This window comes from Homo sapiens, chromosome 18 (genome assembly GCF_000001405.40).
Source record: "Homo sapiens chromosome 18, GRCh38.p14 Primary Assembly".
Lineage (NCBI taxonomy): Eukaryota > Metazoa > Chordata > Mammalia > Primates > Hominidae > Homo > Homo sapiens.
In genome coordinates this window covers 23,292,566-23,317,940 of record NC_000018.10, presented here as the reverse complement: position 1 = coordinate 23,317,940, position 25,375 = coordinate 23,292,566, and the positions used below count along the sequence as shown (strand labels likewise).

The window sequence follows — 25,375 nt, the reverse complement described above, 5'->3', positions numbered from 1 at the left end:
CATGGTGAAACCGTCTCTACTAAAAATACAAAAATTACCTGGGTGTGGTGGTGCATGCTGGTAATCCCAGCTACTCAGGAGGCTGAGGCACAAGAATCGCTTGAACCGTGGAGGCGGAGGTTGCAGTGAGCAGACATTGGCCACTGCACTGCAGCCTGGGGGACAGAGCGAGACTCCGTCTGAAAAAAAAAAAAGAAATGAAACATATAAAAAGACAAAGTATATCTAATCTACAATGGTAGATCTTCAGATCTTTGGAGGGGAGGGAGAAAAGTAGTTGTATGGGGACACAAGTGACACTGATGCTGTTCCTTGGTTACATACATGTATTCACTCTGTAATCATTTATTAAGGTTTACGTGAGTGCTCTTTGCATGTATTTCTGTGTGCATGGTATATATCAATAAGTATTAAATATTCCATATTTGCACAAAAAAATTGGAACCCTCACACACTGCTGGTGGAAATGTAAAATGGTGCAGTACATGATACCTGCAGTGATGATAAGATGATCGAGATAGTGATCATGATGCCTTGTTTCACCAGGTTCTGGCCTATTTCATTGATGCCATGAAGTGGTTCTGTGATGTTTGGCAATTTTGTGGATACTTTTACTCAAACTAGGAACATAGCAATAATCAGAGATTCAATCCTATCTTCCTATGAGAATTACAAGGGGATCTTTTTAAAAATGCTAAATCCTGGGCTTCAGTCCAAGAAATTTTTATTTGGTTGATATGGAACAGGATATTAGTGGGGTGTGTGTGTGTGTGTGTGTGTGTGTGTAACTTCTCCCAGGATTTTGGATGTGCCATCAGGGCTGAGAACTACTGAGCCAGGATTAAGCAAAGCCACTGTTGAGTGTTAGCTTGGAGTTAGAAAGGAGAGTGCCACAGGACTCAGGAGACCTGGGTTTTAGTTCCAACTCTTCCTTTGTTTAAACTGTATGCTTTGAGCAAGATAGTTCTCCTCTGTGAGCTTCAGTTTCTTCATCTGTAGAAATGGGGCCAAGCAGCCTCCTGTGCAGGGATGTTGTAGGGATCACGTGAGATTTTCTCTGTGACACAGCAGAGCCTGGTGTCTGGGACATTTTATGCCCTCATCACATTTTGGTTACTTTCTTCCCTTATCTTTCATGAACTAGATACTCGTGTCACAGTTTTCTAGTTTAATTCTCTTGTTGATGCTTCTATAAGATGTAGGAGTTTGTTAAAAGTCACCTAAGATTTCTCTAGGTTTAAAATTTATCCTTCCTTCACATGAACCTAATCTCCTTTTGTTCCTCATCTGTGTTCTCAATCCCATTGTGCTTATAATAAATGTTGTTCTGATATCTGGCAAGATTAATGGTTCATATATTTTGATGAGGCAATATTAAATACTGTTAATAGCCATGCCTGGAGTTTAACATGAGTTGTCCCTTGTTAATAATTACCCTGATTGTGGTAATAAATCATAGGATGGGTAATAACGGTTAATTGAAATTTTTTAATGCCGAATAGAGTTATGAGTATAGGCTGTGATTTCTATCTAGTGGACTTGGAATAGTTCTATGGGTTCTAGGAGAAAAAGAGCCTGCTCTCAGATGATAAATTTTATATTAGATTTACTCTTTAACCTGGAAGGAAGACCAGGTTGGTAACATTCATATGTGAGTCTGCAACACAGACAGACTCCAAGACTGTCTGAAATACACCTCCAACTCTGTGGCCTGTGGGAGAGCTGGAGTCCGCCCGTCCCTGGAGAGGTAGCAGTGCAGCGTGTTTGTACACCAGCTGGAGGAAGTCATTCTGGAGCCTTGTGGCTGGAGTTGGAGGGTATAGAAGAGAACTCTCACATGTTAACGTGTATGCATATCACCTGGGCATTTGTGCCAGTGCAGATGCTGTTTAGTAGGTCAGGGGTGGAACCTGAGATTCTGCATTTCGCGCAAGCTCCCAGGTGTTGCTGATGCTGCTTGTCTGTGACCACACTTTGCATGGCAGATAGAAGAAAGTACCTGTTGTTCTGCCTGCCAGCACTTCCCATACCTTCCTCCAATAAAATGTTCCTTCCTTCTTCCAACCATGAAGTTCCTGAGTGAGCTTCCTTATTCTTATATGACTCTGCCTCCCAGGCCCCAGTCAGTTGGTCCAGGAGCCAATTAGAATCGTCCCTGGCATTTTGGGACTAGAATCCAGAGAGATCTAGGCTTAGATCCGCTCTGTGAGGCTCTTTCTAACTCTGTGGAGGGAACTGGTCAAGGATAAGGGGTAGAGAGAATGTCCCAGTGGTTCTCAAGTCCTTGGTTCCAGTTTTCCCAAATATATGAAAAAGGATTAAACAACAAAACAAAACAGCATTGTGACCTTAAAGGTTATATTACCAGCTCTGATTATCTGGTGCAGAAACTGTTATCAGGCCCTTATCACATGCAAGTCTCTATTGCTAGCCCCTGAACGTTCAAAGATGAATAGCACATGCCCTGATTGGGAGAAGACCACATATTGCAAATAGGGTTTGGCATGTGCGATGGCAAGGGGTTGTGGGAGCCTTGAGAGGAAGTGCTTGATCCAGTTGGGTGTGCGGACGGGGGCCAAGTTCAGTAAAAGTTTTCTCAAGATGGATTTTTGAATGGTGAGTAGGAATTATGTCGGCTATATCGGCAGACCTATGAAATGTTTCCAGGCAGAGAGAACTTGCTGAGCAAAAGCAAGATGATGGTAGGAAACTGTGTTTGAAAAATTGCAACCCCTTTAAAAGGGAGGTACATGGCTGTAACTGGGCTGAAGAAGCAGGCAAGGGAGAGTCTTGTATGCATCACTTTTTTCTTAAGAGTCATATGCATTTAAAAACCAATAGAACAATAAACCTAAGTCTCTGATTGTCTCCCAAATACCTGATAATCTGGCAGGTTCCTACTTACAACACCCCCCACCACCACCACCATTTTCCCCTTAAATGGAAAATTTGTCTCAGGATTGAAATGAATGTTTGAAAAACAAACCTGATCTGCTTTAAATACCAAAATCTGTTTAAATAACACAGAGGTTGTGCCAGCCGTTGACAAAGCTAGGAAGTTCAAAGCCCTGCGGCTGACACCTCGTATTGAGTTCTGCTGTTGTTGGCACCCCTCTGCCTGTGGCAGGTCCTGGGGTTTGTTATTCGGGTCTGTGTGTGAGAAGGAGACATTCCTCAGATGACAAGACTCTTTCTTCTTTGGGAAAAATCTGTTTTTTAAAGTGCTTTTTATAAGCAAGTACACCAATTGATAGTACAGGTGATGACTATTTCTTAGGTCTTCTTGAATGGCTAGTTGCAAGAGTAAATTGAAAGTTTTCTCATGGGCAGATTTTAGTCATTTCAAGAGGGTTTTTCAAAAATGTTTATGCTTTTACTAACATTTTTGGAGTACAAAATGTAATGTATGAGAAAGACTCTTGTTCTTTGGTGAATATTATCTCATTGAAGGTGGTGTCAGAGCACTTAGTAGCCCCCCCCAGGGTAAGCACATTGCAGTAGGCTTGTTAACATCTGGAGCATGACTCTCAGCCCTGGAATACTGGGAGCTTGGTTTTATCCCATGACCACACAGTGAGATGCACTGGGATCGATTTCTGTTACTTAGAGGAAAGGATTGCTTGATGCAACAGGAGACCAATCCACTGATTAACTGTGGAGCAAGTGACATGACACCTAAAGCCTTGGAGCATGAGGCCTTTTGCACGCATTTCTGAAGAGGAAGGCAAGGATGGCTAGAATTTGGGAGACTGTCACTCCAAGGTGTGTCCAAGCCTAAGAGGCTATTCTTGTGGAGGCTGGCTCTGGAGCTCTGAAGGTGCAGCTGGTGGGTGCTGTGTGTAGTGTCCGCTGGAGCATCATAGTTAAGTTCTAAACCTGGAAGATCGGACACAGGGCTGGAAATCCAGGCAATGGTCAGTACTCAGTGGAGAGTCCTTCTGGATTATTAGTCCTAGTTCTGTGGGGCGTCAGTCAAGGTTCTAGTCATAAGGCCAAGGTCTGGCCAGAGCCAGGCAGCCTAGAAAGCTCCCTTCCCTGGGTTGGAGATCAGAGTCAAGTGTGGAGCACAAAGAGGGAGACTGGTGTGGCTTGAGAGTCAGGACCAAAGCAAGGTTCCACTCAGTGGACTGTGTGGCCTTGGGTGGTTGGGGTGCAGTGAGAGAGGAGGGGAGCGAAGAGGCAGCTTCAGTGGTTCCATCCTCAGTGCTAATACCTGGGGGCCCTGTGCTCTAGGTCCCACCACCAGGTGGATCACTCAGGAAGCCCCTGGTACAAATGGGAAAAGCAATGCATTCCCACAACTAGTGCTCAGCAAATGATGGGGAGGTGGCAATGATGCTCTTCAAGGGCTAGGCAGGAAGTGAAAACTGGGTAGATTTCACACCTGTGTGTTTTTAGTAGAATTACTGATCATCCTGGATGACCTTGTCACCCAGGAGCTGGAAGTCAGGAATTAAAGTTTTGCTTCTTGTCACACACTCACACCAGTGCATTCCTTTGTAAGCCTCCAAGTGCTCCAGAGTCACAGGGGGCTCCTTTTTTTTTTTCTTTTCCCTATTTTACCCCTTTGCTTTTAAATGCTTGTTTTGGGCTTAATGATAAAAGATTTTGTTTTGTGTGCTGACACTACATGTTCCTACATGTCTCAGAGCAAATTTTAAGCTTTCAAGCACATGAGGAGCCTCTTCCCCTGTGCTGACTTTCCAAGTGAGCAAAAAGGAAGCCAGTACCAAGCCTGTTGCATGTTCATGTGCCCTCCAGGGAGGATCAGAGGCTCAGGTTCTTTTTTTTTTTTTTTTTTTTTTTTTTTTTTTGAGATGTAGTCTCGCTCTGTCACATAGGCTGGAGTGCAGTGGCGTGATCTCGGCTCACTGCATGCTCCCTCTCCCGGGTTCCAGCGATTCTCCTGCCTCAGCCTCCCTAGTAGCTGGGACTGCAGGCGCCCGCCATCACGCCTGGCTAATTTTTTGTATTTTTAGTAGAGACGGGGTTTCACCATGTTAGCCAGGATGGTCTTGATCTCCTGACCTCGTGATCCGCCCGTCTTGGCCTCCCAAAGTGCTGGGATTACAGGCATGAGCCACCGCGCCCGGTTGGCTCAGGTTCTTTCCACCCTTTGTCGAATGTGACTGAGCCAGGCTCTGCGGCACTGACCTTGGTCCTGGGATGGCTTCCAAGTCTTTGACCTTAAGAGTTCACAATGCAGAGAGGGGAGATAGGCTTGTAAACAGATCACTGATTAATAGGACAGTAGTGGGGCATCACGCACGTAGAAACCACGTGCTGGGGAGAGAACACATCATCCTTTCAGAGGAGTCTTGCCTGTACCGAATAGATTAAAAATGGGCCCGTCCAACCCCACAGTTGTCCCACGGTGCAAACAACTTCAGTCTACATTCTCTACAGAAATAAGATAAAGGGTCTCAGGCAGCAGCACACTTGTTCCTTAGGTGATAAAACTTGAGAATTTTGAATTTTGGAAAGGTGACTCAGGAGAAGGCAGGAGACTATACAAACATTTCCAGGAAGTGGCAGACGGCGAAGGCACCGGAGTGGCTGCTAAACCAACCTTCTTTTCAAGTAAGGGCTGGTTTAAAATTTTTAAGATGTGTTTTTTTTGGCAAAAGGTGCATTTCAGAGGAATGAGCAGACCAGCTATCTATCTCACGGCAGACAGGATTCCTCCTAAGCTAAAGAGGCTCACGGAGGAGCAGAGGCACAAATCCCAGGCTGTGGGTATGGTGGGGGACAGGGCAGTTGTCCCTTTTTACCAGCTGGACTGAAAGTCACCTGAGTTAGGCAGTCAGAGAACAAGGAGAGAAGCCAATCAAAGAAGGCCTTGAACAGCGGGTAAAAACAGGCAAGGACAATAAAGACAATGGTGAGGACATAGAAATGACAAGTTGGGTCCTTTATAAATCAAGCGAAGTGTTCCATTATGCGGAGCTGCCAGCACAGCCAACATCCATCAGTGGGATGGAGCCTTTCTCAGCAAGTCCAAGAAATACATCTCCATTGGCACCGTCCCAGGCCATGTCTAAGAAGTTGCAAAAGGAAAGAATGACTAACAACATAGTTAACTTCAGTCAAGACTAATGAAGGGGGTGGGGGGAATGAAGAGAAACATTACAAAAAAGGAAGGTAATCAAACAGGCACAAACAATGTAAAATATTTCTTCAAACAGCTAAATATTAATGAATTGGGAGACCTAGATGAAATACATTTTGAGGAAAAGTGAAAATGGAAAATATGCAACAATGAGAAAGAGAAGACTTGATTAGGCTAATAGCTATTAAAGATCACCCCCAGCTAGGAGATCTAGATCCAGGGGCCTTCAAGTCACGGGTAACTTTCAGAGTCAAGATCATCTATAACTGTTGCAGGATAATAAGCAGAGAAGCTGATGAACTCACTTATGTGGTTAGTACAACATTGTTTCCAAGACCAGACAATTGCATTGAGAGGTAATAACATTTTAGTCCACTTCATTTATGACCATAGATGCAGAAGTCCTAAATTAAATGTTAATAAAAAAAAAAAAAAGAAGGGCCAGGCACGGTGGCTCACGCCTATAATTCCAGCACTTTGGGAGGCCAAGGCGGGTGGGATTGCTTGAGCCCAGGAGTTCAAGACCAGCCTGGGCAACAAAGTGAGACGTTGTCTCTACAAACAAATATTAAAAATTAGCTGGGTGTGGCAGTGTATGCCTATAGGCCCAGCTACTCGGGAGGAGTGCTTGAGTCCTGGGAGGTCGAGGCTACAGTGAGCTGAGATCACGCCACTGCACTCCAGCCTGGGCGACAAAGCGAGACCCTGTCTCAAAAAAAAAAAAAAAGGGAAGAGAAAAGAGGGACATTCATCATGCGCATCAGCTCAAAAGTTGTCATTCAATATGATCTTTGAGAAAAAGCCACCACTAGTCTCCACTTAGAGAAATCTCTTTCCCTATCCTTTGTATTCTTGTAATTGTCTGTCTGGCTGGGCTTCTACTTCTTTATTGCCCCTGAGGACAATACCCAGGTCTTTTTTTGTAATCAAGGTTTTTGCTACAAATCAATAAAGCGAGGCAGAAAGTGATACCAAATGACTTAACTACAAAGAAAAGTTCCAAAATCTCACCATGTTTATATCCTATCATGAGAATTCTGTATTTGTAGTTCCAGACTTCTTTCTGAGATGGTAATGCGTGACGATGAGGTTCATAAACATACTCCTTCCTTCTGCTTGTCTGTCTGCTGCCTTGCTCCCAGCTTGGAGACCCAAAGAGGCCTCCAAGACAGCACATGAAATCCCCTTGAGGGAGATGGTAGCTGAACCTCTCCCAACCTGGCCTACATCCCACCTCTCACTGCAAGAAAGCAGTTTCTTAAGCTTACCTTCCCCATGGAAGCTGTTTTGACCTGCAGGATGTGGAAGACTGGAAGCCAGAAACATCTTTCCTTAAGCAGACATTCCAAGTGTGGACAGAGCGGGGCCACTGGTTCACACACTCTCTTGGTGCTGGGGGGTTCGAGGCACTTCTGGGGTCTGAGTCCTGTGGCTGCCATTCCTGAGACACCTTTCTGGAATTTCCAGCCTTGAGAGATGTGGAGGTAACCTCTTCCCTCTCCTCTGGCTTCTAGATATTTGCAAATAATTAATTAATGATTTAATCACTCCTTTCCCCAGGATGCACCTGGTTTCTTAGAATGTGTCATGGATCAGAAAGATGGGAGCATTAGGTGAGGACGGAGAGATGGTGCATTGGACAAAGGCTGGGTGACAGATAAGTTTTTATCTGGAGGATCCGAGAACAGGTTAATGAGCACATCTGACCTTGGAGACGAGTTCTGCACTGCTGAGACAAAATGGAAATGAGTTTTCTTAATATACCCCTTCCCTGGAGAGAGATGAGGGCGGCCTTGGCTGTGCGCCTCCCTTTTGAAGAATTTGGAAGTTAAATGCTTCTTTGAACATTCTCACCTCCAAAACAGACTAAGACTTAGCCTTTTCTACACCAAATGCTTGGCTCAGAGGCACCGCTAAGTACAGGGGGCTGACTAGGAAGCGTGTGGGGAAAAGGACACGGGAAGTGGAACGAAGTGCCTGATGGCAGGCATCCGAACTCAAGTGAGCTAAGCTTGTGAAAAAAATGACATTGGAGGTTTCCAGAGCCCTGCTGGTATGATGACCTTGTGTTGAAATTATTTCTACAGATAATCACAGCTGGCTTATCAATATTGCTGTTTGATGCGATCCTGACCAGTGCAACCACGGGATGGTAAGTCTTTTGCATAGAGAGATAAAGTGCCAATTAGTTACTGAGTTTCATCAGGATACTAAATTTTGCTCTCAAATGTTGCAGAAAGGGAGTGTGCGTTGGCTGTGTATCTCCATCCAAATGCAAATCTCATATTAGCGAAGCTTTCTTTAAAAAAAAAAAAACTTGTATTGACCTGTAAATACAAATTGGGAAGAGTGCATATATCATAAATATACTACTTGATGGATTTGTACAAACCAACCATTCTGTATACCATAACCAGCATCCAGAGCAAGAAACAGAACATCACCCTCACTCCTCCACCCCAGGGCAGCCACTGCTGGTCAACCACTATGTGTATATATATGTATGTATATGCATAATATGTATAATATAATATGTATAATAATATGTAATGTTTAGTAAACCACTATACACACACACACACACACACACACACACACACACAATCAGCCCTTTGCATGAACAGGTTCCAGATCCTCAGATTAAACCAACTGTGGGTCAACAATGCAGTTTAGGCCTGCAATGGTTGCATCTGTACTGAACATGTACAGACTTTTTTTCTTGTTATTATTTCCTAAACAGTACAGTATAACAACTATTTACATAGCATTTACATTGTATTTGATATTACAAGTAATCTAGAGATGATTTAAAATATACAGGAGGATGTGCATGGGTTGTAGGCAAACACGACACCATTTTATATAAGAGACTTGACAACCCATGGACGTCCTGGAACAGATCCCCTTTAGGTACTGAGGGGCAACTGTATACACACACACACACACACACACACAGAGAGAGAGAGAGAGAGAGAGAGAGAGAAAACACGTGCTGTGTTTGGGTGTCTTTCCATTTCTTTGATTTTTCCATTAACTTTCAGATAAGCTCCAAATGATCCTGTTTAGAATGCACTACCCATTTGCATAAAGACAGCATGCCTCACTAAGCTGTCTGAGCAGAGACCAGAAGGAAGTGAGGGAGTGAGCCATGGGGATGCTGGGGGACAACGGTGCCAAGGGGTGGGGAGGAAGCAAGAAGACCAGGGGCTCTTGCCATGATCTAGGTGCAAGATGATGATGGCTGAGAACTGGCTGATAGCAGTGGAGGTGGGGAGACATGGTAGGATATCTGAGGCACTAGGATTTGAGAGAGGGGAGTCTAGGATGACTTCTAGGTTTGGGTTCCGAGCAATGAAAGAATGAGGTTGCCTTTACTGAGATGGAGAATGTTGTGTGAAGAGCAGGGTTTGGCAAGGTGGTGGTGGAGGCGTACTGGGCATTGGTTTGAATGTATGAAGGCTGAGGTGCCTGTTGGACCACAGAGTGGAGATACAGGAATAGATCGTTCGCCAAATCAGCCTGCGGATCTGGGGAGGGGAGAGCCTTTCTGTGCCTTGGCCATGGCACACATGTGTCTCCTCAGGGCTTCTGGGCCTGTCACTTCGGCCCGGATGCCTTCCTCCCTGCTTTCAGTTGGCCACTACTGCTCATCCCCCAGGCCTTCAAATCGAGGTGACCTCAGAGAGGCTTCCCTGGCCACATCCTGTGCAAGCCCTGCTAGCTTTTTCCTGTCGCCTTGCTAATTTCCTCCCTGACAGTTCTGACTGTTGTGACCAGATTCATTCCTTTCTGCCCATTAGGGTCTGCCTCCCTCCCAGAAGCAGTGCGCAGGACCCTGGGGGTATGCAGGAGACAGTTGGGTGTGGGGTGGTGTTCAGCAGGGCAGACCGGGACAGGCAGGCTCTTCAGAAGGATGGCTGAGCAGGGCAGATGGGGACAGGTGGGTTCTTCAGAAGGATGGCTGAGGCAGGGGCATGGCTGTGGGGAGACACAGTGGGGACTCAGAGTCCCAGGAGGTAGGTGTGGCCGTTGTGATGGTAGCTTCAGGACACACCTCCTGGAAAAGGCCACACTGCCCTGCCCCATAGCCCTCAGAGCCCGTGACTCACAAGGGAGGTTTGGGCCATGAGTAACACAGGGATGCACAGAGAAAGTACTACTGTCGGAGAGGACCCAGCTGTGACCAGCGCCCCGGGCTCGCCCTCCGCTCAGGCCTCGGAGCTCTCATCTGAGACAGGAAACAGGCCTTCTGAACTTATTAGGACCATGTGCCTCTCGTTCAAGGGCCAGTTGGCTATGACCACATGAGGACAAGAATGAAGCGATCGGGTGGGTTTCACCCCTGAACTCTCTACACAAGTCCTGCCCATTGGAGAGTTAAGAATGTTATCTATTCTGATTACTACTATTCAAACCAATAGGTGATTGTTACCAAGGATTTGGGTTGTGGTCTGCAGGGAAGGCGAAGGTGAGGGAGGAAGTAATGGAGAGTTTAAACGGTTAAAACAGCTCATTGCTGATGAATAGGCATGCTTTAATTTGGGGAATATATATGTATGTATTTTTAAGCAATAGAGTAATGCATGCTATTTATAAGACATTTAAAACAATACAGAAATATATCAAGTAAAAAGCGAAAGTCGCTCATCCTTCACTCCCTCAAACTCCTCTTGCCAGACGTCACTACGGTTCGGTTGAAGGGTGAGAACAGTGCTGCATTTGGCCAGGCATGTGTAACCCAACGGAGGTGGACTCTGTTCACTGTAGGAGGTGTTAGATCTGGGGGCCTAGCCACAACAGTGTTTCTGAAATGAAACCACACTGAGCAGCCCTCACACACATCACACATAAATAGTCTATTTCTTGGGCTGGTGACAAAGTTTTGTTTCCTTCCCTGTGACCAGGGGCAGCCTGGCCTCAATCCTGGATGCTGCACATTATGTAGAAAAATTCACATTTGTTGTTGCTGCTCACTGGTCTTCTGTCCTTTGTTTTAAAAAGGAAAAGAAGCCTAGGACCACTTTAAGATCATGCTTATTTCTATTCTAGTTCCTATATATTACTTGGCAGATTTTTCCCCCCCATGGAATAGCACTATAAAATTGAAGTGCAGGCAAATTTTGGAATGGGTTTTTACATTTCTTTACCAGTATTATCAGGAAAGAAAAAGCATAGTATTGCTTAGCTTTGCTCAAATAATGCCTGACTCTAGAAAATAAGTATTTTAGCTGGGCGCAGTGGCTCACGCCTGTAATCCTAGCACTTTGGGAGGCCGAGGCGGGTGGATCACCTGAGGTCGGGAGTTCGAGACCAGCCTGACCAACATGGAGAAACCCTGTCTCTACTAAAAATACAAAATTAGCCAGGTGTGATGGCGCATGCCTGTAATCCCAGCTACTAGGGAGGCTGAGGCAGGAGAATCGCTTGAACCCGGGAGGTGGAGGTTGCAGTGAGCCGAGATCGCGCCATTGCACTCCAGCCTGGGAAACAAGAGCAAAACTCCATCTCAAAAAAAAAATAAGAAGAAGAAAGTAAGTATTTTTTTCCATGCCTGCAATCAGAGTAGTCCTAATAGCTGATCTTTCCCCTTCCTTCTTCTTTTTTTTTTTGCATTTGTTTGCAAGTTGGACCTGCTGAGTTGTCACTTGCTTAAGTCAAGGACCACCATGCTGGCTGGTGGGAGTCAGCACTGGTACCCAGGTGTGCCCAGGACAGCCTCCCATCTCCCAGGTGGCCTTGGATGCTGACATAGCCCAGAAACAACAGTGTTATTTTTGAACATCGGTAGGAGATTCATATGGGATAAATGTGAGGGGCAGCACCAGTGGCCCTGTGGAATACCATGATGGGGAGTCTAAAAGGTAACCGTGCATCTTGTGTGGCTTTGGGCTGGAAGGGGTTCCTTCAATAAACAGACATTTACCAAGTGCCTCATATGTGCCAGGAACCATTCTTGGATAAAAGTCAAAAATCACTGCCTCTGCAGTGTCTATAGATGCTCATTGCCCTGCCTGAGGGCAGGTCCATATCTAAATCATCCTAGATGGACAGAAATGAATGGTTTTGCTCACTGCACTCAGAAAATGGGATTTCCAACCTTTCTCAGGAGCGCCAGTGGGGGCATTTCCTGCCCCAAGAAGACAAATGGAAGGAAAAATTAGGAAATGTTCCTACACCTTCCTCTTCCTCCTCCTGCTATGTCTTCCTCTTCTTTTTAATAATAATAACCATTTATTGGGCAACTACTGTGCCTCAGACATTTCTTACATTAATATTATCTCATTTACTTTTATAACACTCTTCCAAGTCATCCATATTTTAAAGATGAAGAAGCTGAGGTCCAGAGATGCTTATTTTCCCAAGATTTTATAGCTACTAGGCAGTTGGACCAGGTTTCAAACCCAGGTCTGTGTGTACAAAGCCCTGTAACCTGCTAGAACTGAATTGAAAAACACCAAGGATTTACAGCAGTGTAGATAATGTACAGGCGGAAGCTCATGAGGGAGTTATAAGGGAAAATGGCTTAAATGTTCCTTGTCCCACCACTGTGATCCTCCCTAAAGAGTATGTAGATAATTTGACAGCAGAGGAAACAAACAGAGCGTCACCCAGGACAAGACAGTCCTAATTCCTGTTCAGGAACTGACCTGCAGACTAAGAATGTCCAGTAGACATTTTTAGGGAGGAAAATCTCATTGTCATAGGTTTTTTATACCATAGCTATAATTCCATAATATCAATCAGTTAAACATCTTTATTGAGTGACTGCTGTATGCACAGTATGTGGAAACCATTAAGAAATATAAGATATCCAACATTTAAGGGGTTATCAAAGGAAGGGCAAATCAGAAAGCTAATTCATTGGATGGATCAGATAGTAACTGTGTTAATGCCCAGTGAATAAGAAGACTGAAGAAGGGAGAGAGGCCAGGAGTGTTTGGAAGATGCCCCTGGAGCTGGTGTGAACTGGGCCTTATGCAGAGGAAGAGGCTTAGCTGGGCTGAGAGTTGGGGGATGGAAGAGGACTGGACCCCTCTCACCTGGGAAGACAGGGCAGCCAGTGGAGACTTAGTGATTTGTAACCAGAACTGGGGCTCTGAAGCAGGGAGCTAATCTTCCTCCCCCCTCTTCCTCTGCACCTGTCCTTCTGGGGAGGGGTGACACAAATGGTAGGCAGGTTGACATCCCAAAATCCAGCTGCCCAGAGAAGAAACCTTTATATCCTGAGATATGTATATGTGTACATGCGTCTCTCTCTCCCTCTCTCTCTTTCTATATATAAAGAGAATATATGTATTTTATATATATGTTATATATAATTGATAGATATATAATGTCATTTATATATAATTCTTGTTTTACATGTTATTATATAACAAGAATTATATATATTTTATTATATTACATTTTATTATATGAATTATATATAATTATATATAATGATATGTTATATAAATATATATATATATAAATTCTTGAGACTTTTCCCCAAATTTCTGTATCCTTAACTTTCATAGTGTTTATCTAAATTCTTTAATTTTTTTTTTTTTTTTTTGATACGGAGTCTCACTCTGTCACCCAGGCTGGAGTGCAGTGGCGCAATCTCGGCTCACTGCAAGCTCCGCCTCCTGGGTTCACACCATTCTCCTGCCTCAGCCTGCCAAGTAGCTGGGACCACAGGTGCCCGCCACCGTGCCTGGCTAATTTTTTGTATTTTATTTTTTTAATAGAGACGAGGTTTCACCGTGTTAGCCAGGATGATTTTTTTTTTTTTTTAATTTAAACACAGGGCCTCTCTATGTTGCCCAGGCTGATCTCAAACTCCTGGCCTCAAGCAGTCCTCCAGCCTCAGCCTCCCAAAGTGCTGAGATTGCAGGAGGGAGCCACCACTCCCAGACTAGCCTAAATTCTTTTTTTTTTTTTTTTCCTGGAGATAGAGTTTTGCTCTGTCGCCCAGGCTGAAGTGCAGTGGCGCGATCTCAGCTCACTGGAACCTCCATCTCCCTGGGTTCAAGCAATTCTCATGCCTCAGCTTCCCAAATGGCTGGGATTACAGGCACACGCCACCATGCCCGACTAATTTTTGTATTTTTAGGAGAGACCAGGTTTTGCCATGTTGGCCAGGCTGGTCTCGAACTCCTGGCCTCAAGTGATCCGCCCACCTCAGCCTCCCAAAGTGCTGGGATTACAGGCGTGAGCCACTGCGCCCAGCCCCTAAATTCTTGACAATATCTTTCTCTCTTACAAGTAAGCCTGCATTGACCACATTTTGTACAGAATTTCAAAATGAGCCAAAGAAACCCAGGTATTGAACTGAACGTGAGAGCTAAGAGTAAGACAGCTCTCCAGTGTGAGGAAATGCTGAGTCGGAATAGTAAGGAAGCAGGCGTCTGTAAGAGGCTGTCTCTGGGCTGTTTCACATCCTGTGAACTTTATGGTATGCCCTGAGAAAAATGGAAAGAAAGGCTGTGTGTTCGCAAATTAAGGAAACAGAATGTGTGATTATTGCAAAAGGAACCTTGACTTTGGAATTTCCTGATTTTTGAGGACTCCTGAGGTTAAAGATGGTGTGTTTTCAGCCTGAAGGAATTTTCCAACCACAAAGTGAACCACCAGAAGAGTGGACTGTGCTTCAGCTCTGTGTCTTGCACAGAGCTGTTCTGCCTTGTCCATATACTAGGCGTGTTCAAGCGTGGCTGGGTGACCAGCTCTCAGAGCCCAGGCAGGGGCGGTGGCTGATCCCTGTGGCATGGGACTTTAAACTGATCAGAAGTCACAAAGGGCAGAGGCTGCAGGCCTATTTTGTTTGGACCTATTGTGTGTGCTGGTATAGTTACTATTTCTTCTCATTTGCTTTTCAAGTTTTAAGTTAGTCATCACCATTTTGAAATCGGGTGATTTCCTCATACAAATCCAGATTTCCAGATTCTTTTGAAAATGTGGAGCAGCTGTTAATGTTGGGCCTGCATTTGCACACAGCAGCAGTTGCTGGAATGAATAGAGGCTGCCTCTTCACGTTGGCGTGTGGTCTCCAATCCACCATGGCCTCCACCACCCTGGCTGGCTGAGACTGGAGGACCCTGCTCCAGCCAGTAGCCTTGCATCCATATATTTGTATATTCGTGCATTCCACCAAAGGGCTGGGCTGGGCTCTGAGACTACAGAAGGAAGCAAGGCACATTCCCTGACTCCAGGGAGATCACCATGTAGGGGATAAGTGTTCAAATATATATGTCATTATCCTCCTCCTTGGATGGACAACAGCTTAGCTACACAAAGTAGGCCATCTGAAGTAGGGCTTCTCACCCAAAGCACTATTAATATTTGGGACTGATAATTCCTTGTTTTGAGGGGTTGTTCTGTGCCTTGTAGGATGTCTAGCAGCAAACCTGAACCCCACTCGCTAGATGCCGGTAGCACCCCCTCAATTGTAACAATGAAAAACATCCCCGACATTGCCAAAAGTCCCACCCCAGTTGAGAATCACTGGTCTAAAGTTCATGGGGGCTAGTGGAGAAAATTCCATTTGAAATTTCAGCAAGATCTTAAGGAACTTGCTCATCGAATGAGAGCTTTGGATCAGCTCAAGTGTCAGGTCCTCAGCTGCTCCTCCCATCCCCTCTGTGTCTGTGTCTGGCTCCGTAGGCACTTGCTGCACAGGTGGCTGGCGAGTGACAGGTGGCTGGCGCCATCTCTCCCACCAGGCTGTGAGCAGCTCTAGGAGAAAGGGTGTGTTTCATTCACCTTTGCATCTCTAGGCCTAGTGTTGAATACTTGCTGAATCAACACTGAGTGGCCAGCCTTCAAAATATTGTATCCAAGAACAATTATAAACCGAAGTACTCAATATTTTTAAAGTCTTTAATTAAAAACAACTGCTGTCATCCAGCCAATTATTATGAAAACAATCTATTTCAAGCCCAGTAATTTAAATATCCAGATTTCTATTTAATTGTTCATTTTTAATTAACAGTTTTATAGTAATATTAATTCCCTCTATTTCAAAATTCAGCAAAGGAGATTTGAAGCATACAAAAGAGAAAGATACTGACCTGAGAGCGGTATCCTTGTCAAGTGGAATTAATTATGGTGACTCCTCTCCTCTCCCGTTTTATAGATGGGGAGAGTCACCCTTCTCTTTGGAATAGTTTAAGCACAAGGAAAGAAAAGAATAACCAAAATGCAACTTCTTTGTTCTAAGGATTCCATGATCACATTTTTCCCTTCGCACATCATTCACTGAACTTGCCATTGATCGCTGTTTATCAGCCATGAGGATCACTTGAACTTGAGCCTAGCACAAACCTCACCAACACTGAGGGTCTTTAGAAAATGATCGTATATAATCTTTGAGTAAAGATTTCTTATCCCTTTAATTTTAAGGAACTTCACGGAGGCTGCCCAAACCTATGTATAGAAAGAATGAATTTAGGGGCAAAGAAAACGTCCCCCCATCACACTCCAAAATGCCTTCAGGATCACAGTGTCTGAAATTTATGAGTTCTCCATTTGAATTAAAAATCTGAAACCTCCTCTTTAAAATTCTACGTAAGAAGGGCCTTCTCAATAACGTTGCTGATTACCTCTCAAATTTTATCATAATTTAATAGATTATGAACTCACTCGGCAGAGCCCCAAGGAATGGAGCATGGGACAGACACATTGCGGTGAGGAAGAGAGAAAAAGGAAAAAATAGTTTAGGACCAAATTATTTTTAGACCAAATAGTTTGGGACTTCTCCCATCTACATAGGTGGCAGAAAGGGGATAAAATATTAACAGTTTAACTATTCATTGAATCGGTATTTATTGAGTGCTGCATTAGGCGCAGGGCCTGCAGCCAGGTAAAGGATGCAGCCTCCATCCTCTGTCTACTAGCTCAACAGGAATTAATTGAATAGCCACAATAATAAATGTAAAATTTAGATGGAGGCTTCGGTCCCTCATAGGAGAAAGAGAAGGGCTGGAGAAGTGCTGAAAATAAACCTCTGGAAGAGAAGCTAGTGATGGATATTTCTGGCCATGTGTGCCCTGCAATCTGATGTTTATGCCTTGGTTACATGAAGTTTGTTCATTTCAGGAATGATGGGGATTACAAGATTTGCAAACAGTTCAGTCAAGCTCTGACTTAAATAGTTGTAATGCTATTAAGATTCCTGGACCCATGTCAGCCTTTCCTGCTGTTTAGAAAACAACATCAAAGCTCACCTCCCTGGCTCTCCTAACAGTAAACCGAACCAAGGTTTGTTTTCATTTTTAGTATTTACTAAGCTGCTTTGGTGTTTCATAAAGTAGTTCAGGCCAAGGGACATAATGCAAGGTTATTATACTCCAGCATTTTTCTAAGGTTATGGGAGTAAAAGTGGCAAGGGGCCAGCTGCTACCCTGGTTTTCTCCCTGGTGATTAAGGAGGATTAGTGGAAAGTGTATAAAATGTCCGAGCCCCTGGTTACATTTGCAGAAATAAAACCCTCCCAAACCCAAAGCTCCGTGCAGCCCTTGCATCCGGTCGTGGTGACTCTGCATTGCCTGGGAACTTGGCAGGGTGGCATACATGCTCTTGAAGGGCTACAAGGGGAACGGCAGTCACTTAAAAGGAAAAGCCAGGTCTTTGGAGGTGAGCCTGCGTGCAAAAAGAACGCCTCCCTTTCACAGTCATGTCTTTTCCAAAGAGGAGAGGTGATAGAACCCCTCAGCATCTGGGGTCCTGAGCTGGACAAGGGACAAGCAGGCTCCCAGCTTCACAAAGCGGCCTCGTTCCCAAATAGGGTCGTTGGGAACTTGGGTCACAATTTCTCACGGAGACAGTGCTGACAATGATGATTACAGATCTAGGGAGGTCCACAGATAGTCATTTGGTTCATAACATGGACATTCGTAACAGCTACATTCTTGTGAGTTAAATAGGAACGATCAACTTAGTTTCACTGTTATAGTTTTATTTCTGTAGGAAAGAGGAAAGTACATCCCAACTTGGAGTAAGGTACTAGGCATCAGTCTCCCTCGGCTCCCTCTCCTCCATCCCCATTGTGAACCAAGTGGGGGACATCCTCTAAGCCCCTCAACCTGACTGACCAGTGTCTCCTGCTGCCTTCCCCCAGAGGCCTTTAATCACCAGAGAGGGGAGATCACGGTGTTTGGGGGATTCTCCCAGTCTCTAAGCTGAGGAAGGAGTACATTTGTTCTCTCTTGCTCCGGAGAGCAGCTTTGGCCTCGTGGGCGGGGTTGTAAGAAATTACTGCTGTAGAGTTAGTGTGATGAAGAGCTGCCTGGGTCAGCGTGGGGAAGGAACATGTCTCAGTCAGTCCCCGCCAACCCCAGTGGCTTCCACAAGTGAGATGCCCATGGAGACGCATGTGAATCCGGTGACCAAAGCCACTCATCCATGGGACAGGCTTGCCTTGCTCAACAGGACGTGCCCCTCACTAGACATCTTCAGGCAGAAGTTGGGTGGCCCACCGGGAGGACCACTGAGGAGGGGATTGCTACTCTCAGAGGGCAGTCGGCTGGAAAATAATAGTAATCCTGTCTTAGTGATTGTCCATCATAGGCTAAACACAGGGGTGGGTTGCTGCTGATGTATTATTTCTAAGCCTCACAGAGACTGTTAGATGCGATCATCTCCTGTGGTACAGATGGAGAGACTAAGGCTGAAAACGTACGCAAGATCACCTGACTAACAAATGCCTGCGCCAGAGCTTGAATTGGCCTGATTCTAAAACATATGGTTTTTATATTCTCACTCATAGTCAGTTCATTCCTATGCTAAAGTGGAAAATGGTGTGAGTTACCTGTATGTCAGGGTCACCCACCAAAGGAACATTTTTCACAGGGTATGTAGCGTGAACAGCCTATGTGTGTGTCATACACTCAGCACCCCAAACGTTCAAGGTGCGAAGGCGCCGTGGCCTGGGCGTGTGTTGCAGGTGAGCGTATGAAGGGCTGGGGTGTTGGGTAGGCAGATGAGAGAGGAAGGGAAGGAAAGGGTCTGACCAAACGGGCTGCTGGCACCTCTGAAAAAGGGGCCCTCCCCATCAGAGACCTACCACCATAGTCCCTTGGTGATGGCCCAGCACAGGCCCCAGAAGACTAACGGGATTCAGATAGTCACCAGACTGTCTACGGCGAGGTTCAAAATAGAAAGTGGAGAGGACTTTGGCTGTATTACATTAGAGGCATGTTAAAATATTCAGCTCTTCTTCCCTCTCTGTCTCCAGTTCTCCCACTGCTTTTTCATTTCAGATCACTGGCCATGTTTCTTTCTGTGCTGGTGGGAAAATTATGATTCCCCACTTGTATTTTCACCTTTAAATGTTCTGTAGTTTAAATGAAATGAAAACTGAGATTGTCACCTTAATTTTAAGAGTGTGGATACCTGTGTGATTTCCTATCCATCAGCCCAATTTGCCAACAGCACCAGAGGCCTCTATGGGATCTCTCCTGCCAGAAGTCTGTGTTTCTGCCAGAGAGCACTAACCCAGTGCATCATCCTCACCTGGTCAGGATGTGTGGGACGCTTCACCTTCTTCCCCAAGGGAAGGTATCGAGCCCGCCTCCCTGCCTTCTCACCTCCCATGTGTACCTGAGGTCTGCCCTGAGGGATAGGAGCGATTCCTGGGCTTGACCTGGAAGCATGGCAGTTCGGGCTGGTGATGAGTCTCAGTTGCAGGATGAGGGGAAGCACCCCTTGCCCTGCGTATGTGGGCGCCAGGCAGCTCAGGGGTCCCGGGGGAGTGGAGAGCTGACCTTCTGCTGTTGTTTGCAGCCTCCTGCTCGGTGCGCTTGGAGAGGCCTTGCTGGTTTTCTCAGAGCGGAAGAGCTCCTGAACAAGACGGTCAAGAGAAAGACTCACAGGCTGCTGCGGGAGAACAGCTTGTACACCTGTGTACGAGCCCCTGGTCTCATAGCTCCCTGTTGGATGTGTCAGAAAGAGGAATGCAAGGACAGTGAGGCCAGGTGGGCAGTGCCATCACCCTCACCCAAGTGAATGTGGTGGTGGCTGATGAGGCCGAGGCCCTGGTGCTTCAAGGAGCACCCTTTCTGGGGGTCTGCAGGTCACTGCAGAGGAGCGGTCTGTTACATCTTCCCATTTGGAGAACCTCTCTCAACCGTGCTGTAGCTGGTTCTGCAGAAACAGGAAGTACAGGATTTCATGGGCTGGCTCTGCTCGCCTCGACTGAGCTTCACACCTCTGGATGCCACATGCTCTCTCCCAAACACTGCTTTCAGTGCAAGGTAGTGGGCCTAAGGGGTTTGGTTGTCTTTTTTTTTTTTCATTTTTAAAATTTTAAATTTTTATTTATTATTATTTTTTAGAGACAAGGCCTCACTCTATCGCCTAGGCTGAAGCACAGTGGTGCGATCACAGCTCGCTACAGCCTTGACCTCCTAGGATCAAGCCATCCTCCTGCCTCAGCATCCACAGTAGCTGATGTGCACCACCAGACCCGTCTCATTTTTTCTATTTTTATTATTTTAGAGATGGGGATCTCACTGTGTTGGCCAGGCTGGTCTCAAACTCCTGGGCTCAAGCAATCCTCCCACCTTGGCCTCAAAGTATTGAGATTACAGGCATGAGCCACTGCACCCGGCCTTTCTCATTTTTATTTTTAAATTGACAGACGTAACAGTGCGCATTTATCACGCACAACACAATGCTTTGGGAATGGTTAAATCTAGCTCACAAATGCATTACCTCACACGGTTGTCATTTTTGTGGTGAGGCTTGGTTGTATGTTTTGTTTCATTCATGTTTTTACATCCTTGGAGTCTCCTCTGGGTCCGTCCTTTCTTTGCTGTCATGCTGGCTTGCCTAAGGCCCACCGCCACCTGCGTACGAGCATTTTAAACTCTAGAGTGAGTGACAGCCTTTTTATGGTTGGTGTTACTATTTATTTCCTGCCTCTAAACTTCTCGTGGTCCTTATAAACTTGTCAGGATGTGTGTTGCGTTGAATTCTGCATGTCCTTTTTTTGCCCACCCTCAGGTTAAGCTGGTACTAACTTATCCCCAGAGGAAACAGGGTTTATGAGCACTGACAGATGTCTTCCCTGGGCAAAAAAAAAAAAAATAGTATATGTATACACACACACATACACATTTATATTTATATTTCTTAAAGCTTTTAATCCCTTTCATTCCCTGATATCTCAGAGATTTCAAATCATTGAACACTGAAGTATATTTTTCAGGCCAGATGAAAAATTGTATTAAAACCCTATTCCTGGTCAGGCGCAGTGGCTCACGCCTATAATCCCAGCACTTTGGGAGGCCGAAGTAAGCAGATCACCTGAGGTCGGGAGTTCAAGACAAACCTGGCCAACATGGTGAAACCCTGTCTCTACTAAAACTACAAAAAAATTAGCCTGATGTGGTGTTGTGTGCCTGTAGTCCCAGCTACTTAGGAGGCTGAGGTAGGAGAATTGCTTGAACCTGGGAGGCGGAGGTTGCAGTGAGCCAAAATTACGCCACTGCACTCCAGCCTGGGCAACAGAGCGAGACAGTCTCAAAAACAACAACAACAACAAAAACCCTATTCCTTGCCTTTGTAGGAGTCAAAATAAATGAACTTCTTTTTTCTTTTTTTTATTATTATACTTTAAGTTCTGGGGTACACGTGCAGAATGTGCAGGTTTGTTACATAGGTATGCACGTGCCATGGTGGTTTGCTGCACCCATCAACCTGTCACCTACATTAGGTATTTCCCCTAATGTTATCCCTCCCCTAGCCCTCCATCCCCTGACAGGCCCTGGTGTGTGATGTTCCCCTCCCTATGTCCATGTGTTCTCATTGCTCCAAAATAAATGAATTTACACAAAATGGTCACTTGTTTCTGAACCCACCAAGAAGGTTTAAGAAAATAATGACTAACTATAAATATTTCTGTTCCTAATAGATGTTTCAAATACCTTACCACTCTGCCAGGTATCAGAGAGTTTGGGCCATTCAGGGTGACCCATGAGTCCTCCGCAAGCAGGGAGCCAGGCCCTGTAGTGTTGAATATCCACGTCATTGATGGAGACCCCCTGCCCATGGCGTCCGGGAAATACGCCTTGTCCATACTCAGCCCCATGGAGAATATAGTCAACTCAGTCGGTGGCTGTTGTTGCCTCTGCATGTGTTCCCCAACTTGTTGAGAAAAGAGAGAAAAAGAAACAACTAGCAATGGATTCGTGTATTTGGAACTTGAGTACCTTAAATTCATGTCCTTGTCTTTTCCTGGTCTCTGCTTGTCATGTAAGGTAAAAATGCTAAGAGTGACCTTAACACATATGGCTTTCAACTTACTTTTGTTGTTGTTGTTTTGTCTTGTTTGTTTCCATGAAAAATATTTATATTATTTTTTTTCTAACCTCCAGCTGATTAAACAGGTACCTTACACTTATTAATTTGGAGGAAAAATAATAGTAGCTGCCTGACATACCTTCTCACTTTGAAGAGTCTCTACTTTTTTAATTTAAATTTTTTTTATTTTTAATTCTGGGGTACATGTGCGGGTTTGTTACGTAGGTAAATGTGTGCCGTGGTGGTTTGCTGCACCTATCCACCAGTCACCTAGATATTAAGCCCAGCATGCATTGGCTATTTTTCCTAATATTCTCCCTCCCTCCCCACCCCCCGACAGGCCCGGTGTATGTTGTTCCTCTCTCTGTGTCCGTGTTCAACTTACTTTTGTTCTTCATCTAGGATGTCAAACTTTCTAGAGACTGAGGGTCAAATAGAAAATCTGGGTTTAGAATTGTCCTTATTCTCTTGCTCCTGTAAAACTCTATACAATGGAGACCAGTTCTTTTCCACTTGCAGAAAGTGGCATCTGTCCAAGTGTCATTTTATACCTGTCTTTCCAAGTGCCATTTAAGCAAATGGAGGTTCTGATGACTGCAAAGAGCCATGCAGTTTAAACCCAGTCCTCTTTCCAGCAGAACTGGCCCCAAAAGCTTTGGCTGAGAAGTTTTAGATCCTTTTTCAAATAGTTCTCTAGCAAGCCTGTATTTGTTTTCGTTTGGTTGTTTGAAACACCTTTCAGAGTCCTCTTTGTTTTTTGGTTTGTTTGTTGTTTTGTTTCGTTTGCTTGAGATAGGGGTTCACTGTGTTACCCAGGCTCGAGTGCAGTGGTGCAGTCACAGCTCACTGCAGCTTCAACCTCCCAGGCTCAAGCAGTCCTCCCACCCCAGCCTCCCAAGTGCCTGGGACTACAGGCACGTACCACTCCACCCAGCTAATTTTTTATTCTTTGTAGAGATGGGGTCTCACTATGTTGCCCCCTGCCTGTTGTTCTTAAAATCTCAGATCTTTTCTTACATTGACACCAGCAAGAGGCAGAGGATAAGGTGTTTTGTCAGTATGCTATCAGTTTCCGTCAGTTTCTATTGGTTCTTGGGCCTTTTTATTCAAGCTTTAACCACCATCTTCTATGCCCAAATTCACGTGCTCAGCGCTGAATGAAGGATGAGCCCACAGACCTGAACAGTGGAGTGGCCCCCTCACTGTAGCCCCAAGCTCTCATTTTCTGCTTAGGGAGTCTCCAGGTAAGCCCACACTCTCCCTTTATTTACCCTTGGATCCTGTTTGGTACCTGATGACCTTAATCCTTGCTGGACCTCAGTCAGAGCCTTGGGATTTGGGTTTTTTTCTTTTATTTCTATAAAGAAAGAACGTGCTTTCTATTAGGAGAGGCAAGGTTGTGTACAATGGTGTATTATTACTAATATGCTGTGGATATAAAGAAAAATAAGGGCCAGTCACGGTGGCTCAAGCCTGTAATCCCAGCACTTTAGGAGGCTGAGGTGGGAGGATTGATTGAACCCAGGAGTTTGAGACCAGTCTGGGCAACACAGTGAACCTCCATCGCTACAAAAATAAAAAATAAAAATTAGCCAGGCATGGTGGCTCACGCCTGTAAGTCCCAGCTACTCAGGAGGCTGAGGCAGAAGGATTGCTTGAGCTCAGGGGTCAAGGTTGCAATGAGCCATGACTGTGCCACTGCACTCCAGCCTGGGCAACAGAGCCAAACTCTGTCTCTAAAAATAACAATAAAAGAAAAATAAATTGTTTATTTTCTTTCCTTTGCCCTTCTTTCTGTTCTCTTCAATACCGGCAGGGGAGTGTTACAGAAAATATTGGTGTTAACCCTGGGGAGGGAGTTCTTGTAGCTTTAACCCAGATCCAGACTCCTCTTTCTGCCCACATCCAGACCACTGAGCTTGAAATAGAGAAGGGCCCACCCAGTGCCTCTAGCCCTGTGCTGTCCAGTGTGGATGCCCCTGGCCATCTATGGCTTTGGAGCACTGGAGTGTGGTTGGGCCAAATTCAGATGGGCTGTAAGTGTAAGAACACACTGGTTTCAAAGACTTAATATTTTTTAAAAAGAATGTAAAATATCACATCATTTTTCTATTGATTACATGTTGAAATAATATTTTTTATATATTGGGCTAAATAAAATGTACTATCAACATTACTTTCTCCTGTTTCCCTTTACCTTTTGTAACGTGGCTGCTAGAAAATTTTAGTTTATAGATGTGGCTCCCATGATATGTCTGTTGGTCATGGCTGATTTATATTCATTCATTCATTCATTTATTTTTGAGATGGAGTTTCGCTCTTGTCACCCAGGCTGGAGTGCAATGGCGCGATCTCGGCTCACTGCAACCTCTACCTCCCAGGTTCAAGCGATTCTCCTGCCTCTGCCTCCCAAGTAGCTGGGATTACAGGCATGCACCACCAAGCCTGGCTACTTTTGTATTTTCTTTTTAGTAGAGATGGGGTTTCACAACATTGGTCAGGCTGGTCCCGAACTCCTGACTTCAAGTGATCCGCCCACCTCGGCCTCCCAAAGTGCTGGGATTATAGGCGTGAGCCACCACGCCTGGCCTTATTGCTGATTTAGAGCAGTTCATCTACACTGGGCCCAGGGAAGTGGCAAAAGAAGGGGGTGTTGGTGGTGGTTGCTGGGGTTACTGACCCAATAATAATATTTAAGATTATAGTTACTGGTGCCTATTTCATGCCAAGCATTGTGCTGGGTACTCTCCAGGCTCCCTGTCATTGATTCTTCCCAATGGTAGTGCAGGGGACATTCTCTTCATTTTACCAAGGAGATCAGAAAGACTCAGTAACTTTTCCAGGCCCACCCAGCTGGGACTCGAATCTAGGTTATTCAAAGCCCATGCTTTCAACCTTCATGCTAGAGAGTTCTGTTGAGAAGGAGAAATGAGGTCCCCGTGTTTCACAGGGGTTGTCAGTTCTCCAAGAAGTGCTGAGGTG

General features: G+C 45.2%; 1 protein-coding gene across 23 annotated transcripts in view, besides 3 other annotated features; it reads left to right on the top strand.

The window, feature by feature from the left end:
• Positions 1-25,375, top strand: part of SLC35D4 (solute carrier family 35 member D4) — a 199,440-nt gene that overhangs the window by 120,021 nt on the left and 54,044 nt on the right. For 18 of the 23 annotated variants that reach the window (NR_148382.2, NR_148384.2, NR_148383.2 and 15 more), the window contains 2 exons: positions 8,197-8,261; positions 19,874-21,928. Coding sequence is in view for 14 of the 23 variants with exons in the window: in XM_047437900.1 (XP_047293856.1) it covers positions 8,197-8,261; positions 19,874-19,934 (126 nt within the window). In the remaining 9 variants the exon portion in view is untranslated. Of the gene's footprint in view, positions 1-8,196; positions 8,262-18,940; positions 19,035-19,873; positions 21,929-25,375 lie in introns of those variants that run through there. The other 5 variants (XR_001753290.3, XR_001753288.2, XM_047437896.1 and 2 more) reach the window with 3 other exon arrangements.
• Positions 9,455-9,954: an enhancer, noted in NCBI's record as "H3K4me1 hESC enhancer chr18:20887951-20888450 (GRCh37/hg19 assembly coordinates)". NCBI's record gives its function as "activates a minimal SCP1, AML or CMV promoter by ChIP-STARR-seq in primed H9 embryonic stem cells {active_cell/tissue: H9 hESC(primed)}" and the evidence as "EXISTENCE:reporter gene assay evidence [ECO:0000049][PMID:30033119]".
• Positions 9,955-10,456: an enhancer, noted in NCBI's record as "H3K4me1 hESC enhancer chr18:20887449-20887950 (GRCh37/hg19 assembly coordinates)". NCBI's record gives its function as "activates a minimal SCP1, AML or CMV promoter by ChIP-STARR-seq in primed H9 embryonic stem cells {active_cell/tissue: H9 hESC(primed)}" and the evidence as "EXISTENCE:reporter gene assay evidence [ECO:0000049][PMID:30033119]".
• Positions 14,654-15,544: an enhancer, noted in NCBI's record as "H3K27ac-H3K4me1 hESC enhancer chr18:20882361-20883251 (GRCh37/hg19 assembly coordinates)". NCBI's record gives its function as "activates a minimal SCP1, AML or CMV promoter by ChIP-STARR-seq in naive H9 embryonic stem cells {active_cell/tissue: H9 hESC(naive)}" and the evidence as "EXISTENCE:reporter gene assay evidence [ECO:0000049][PMID:30033119]".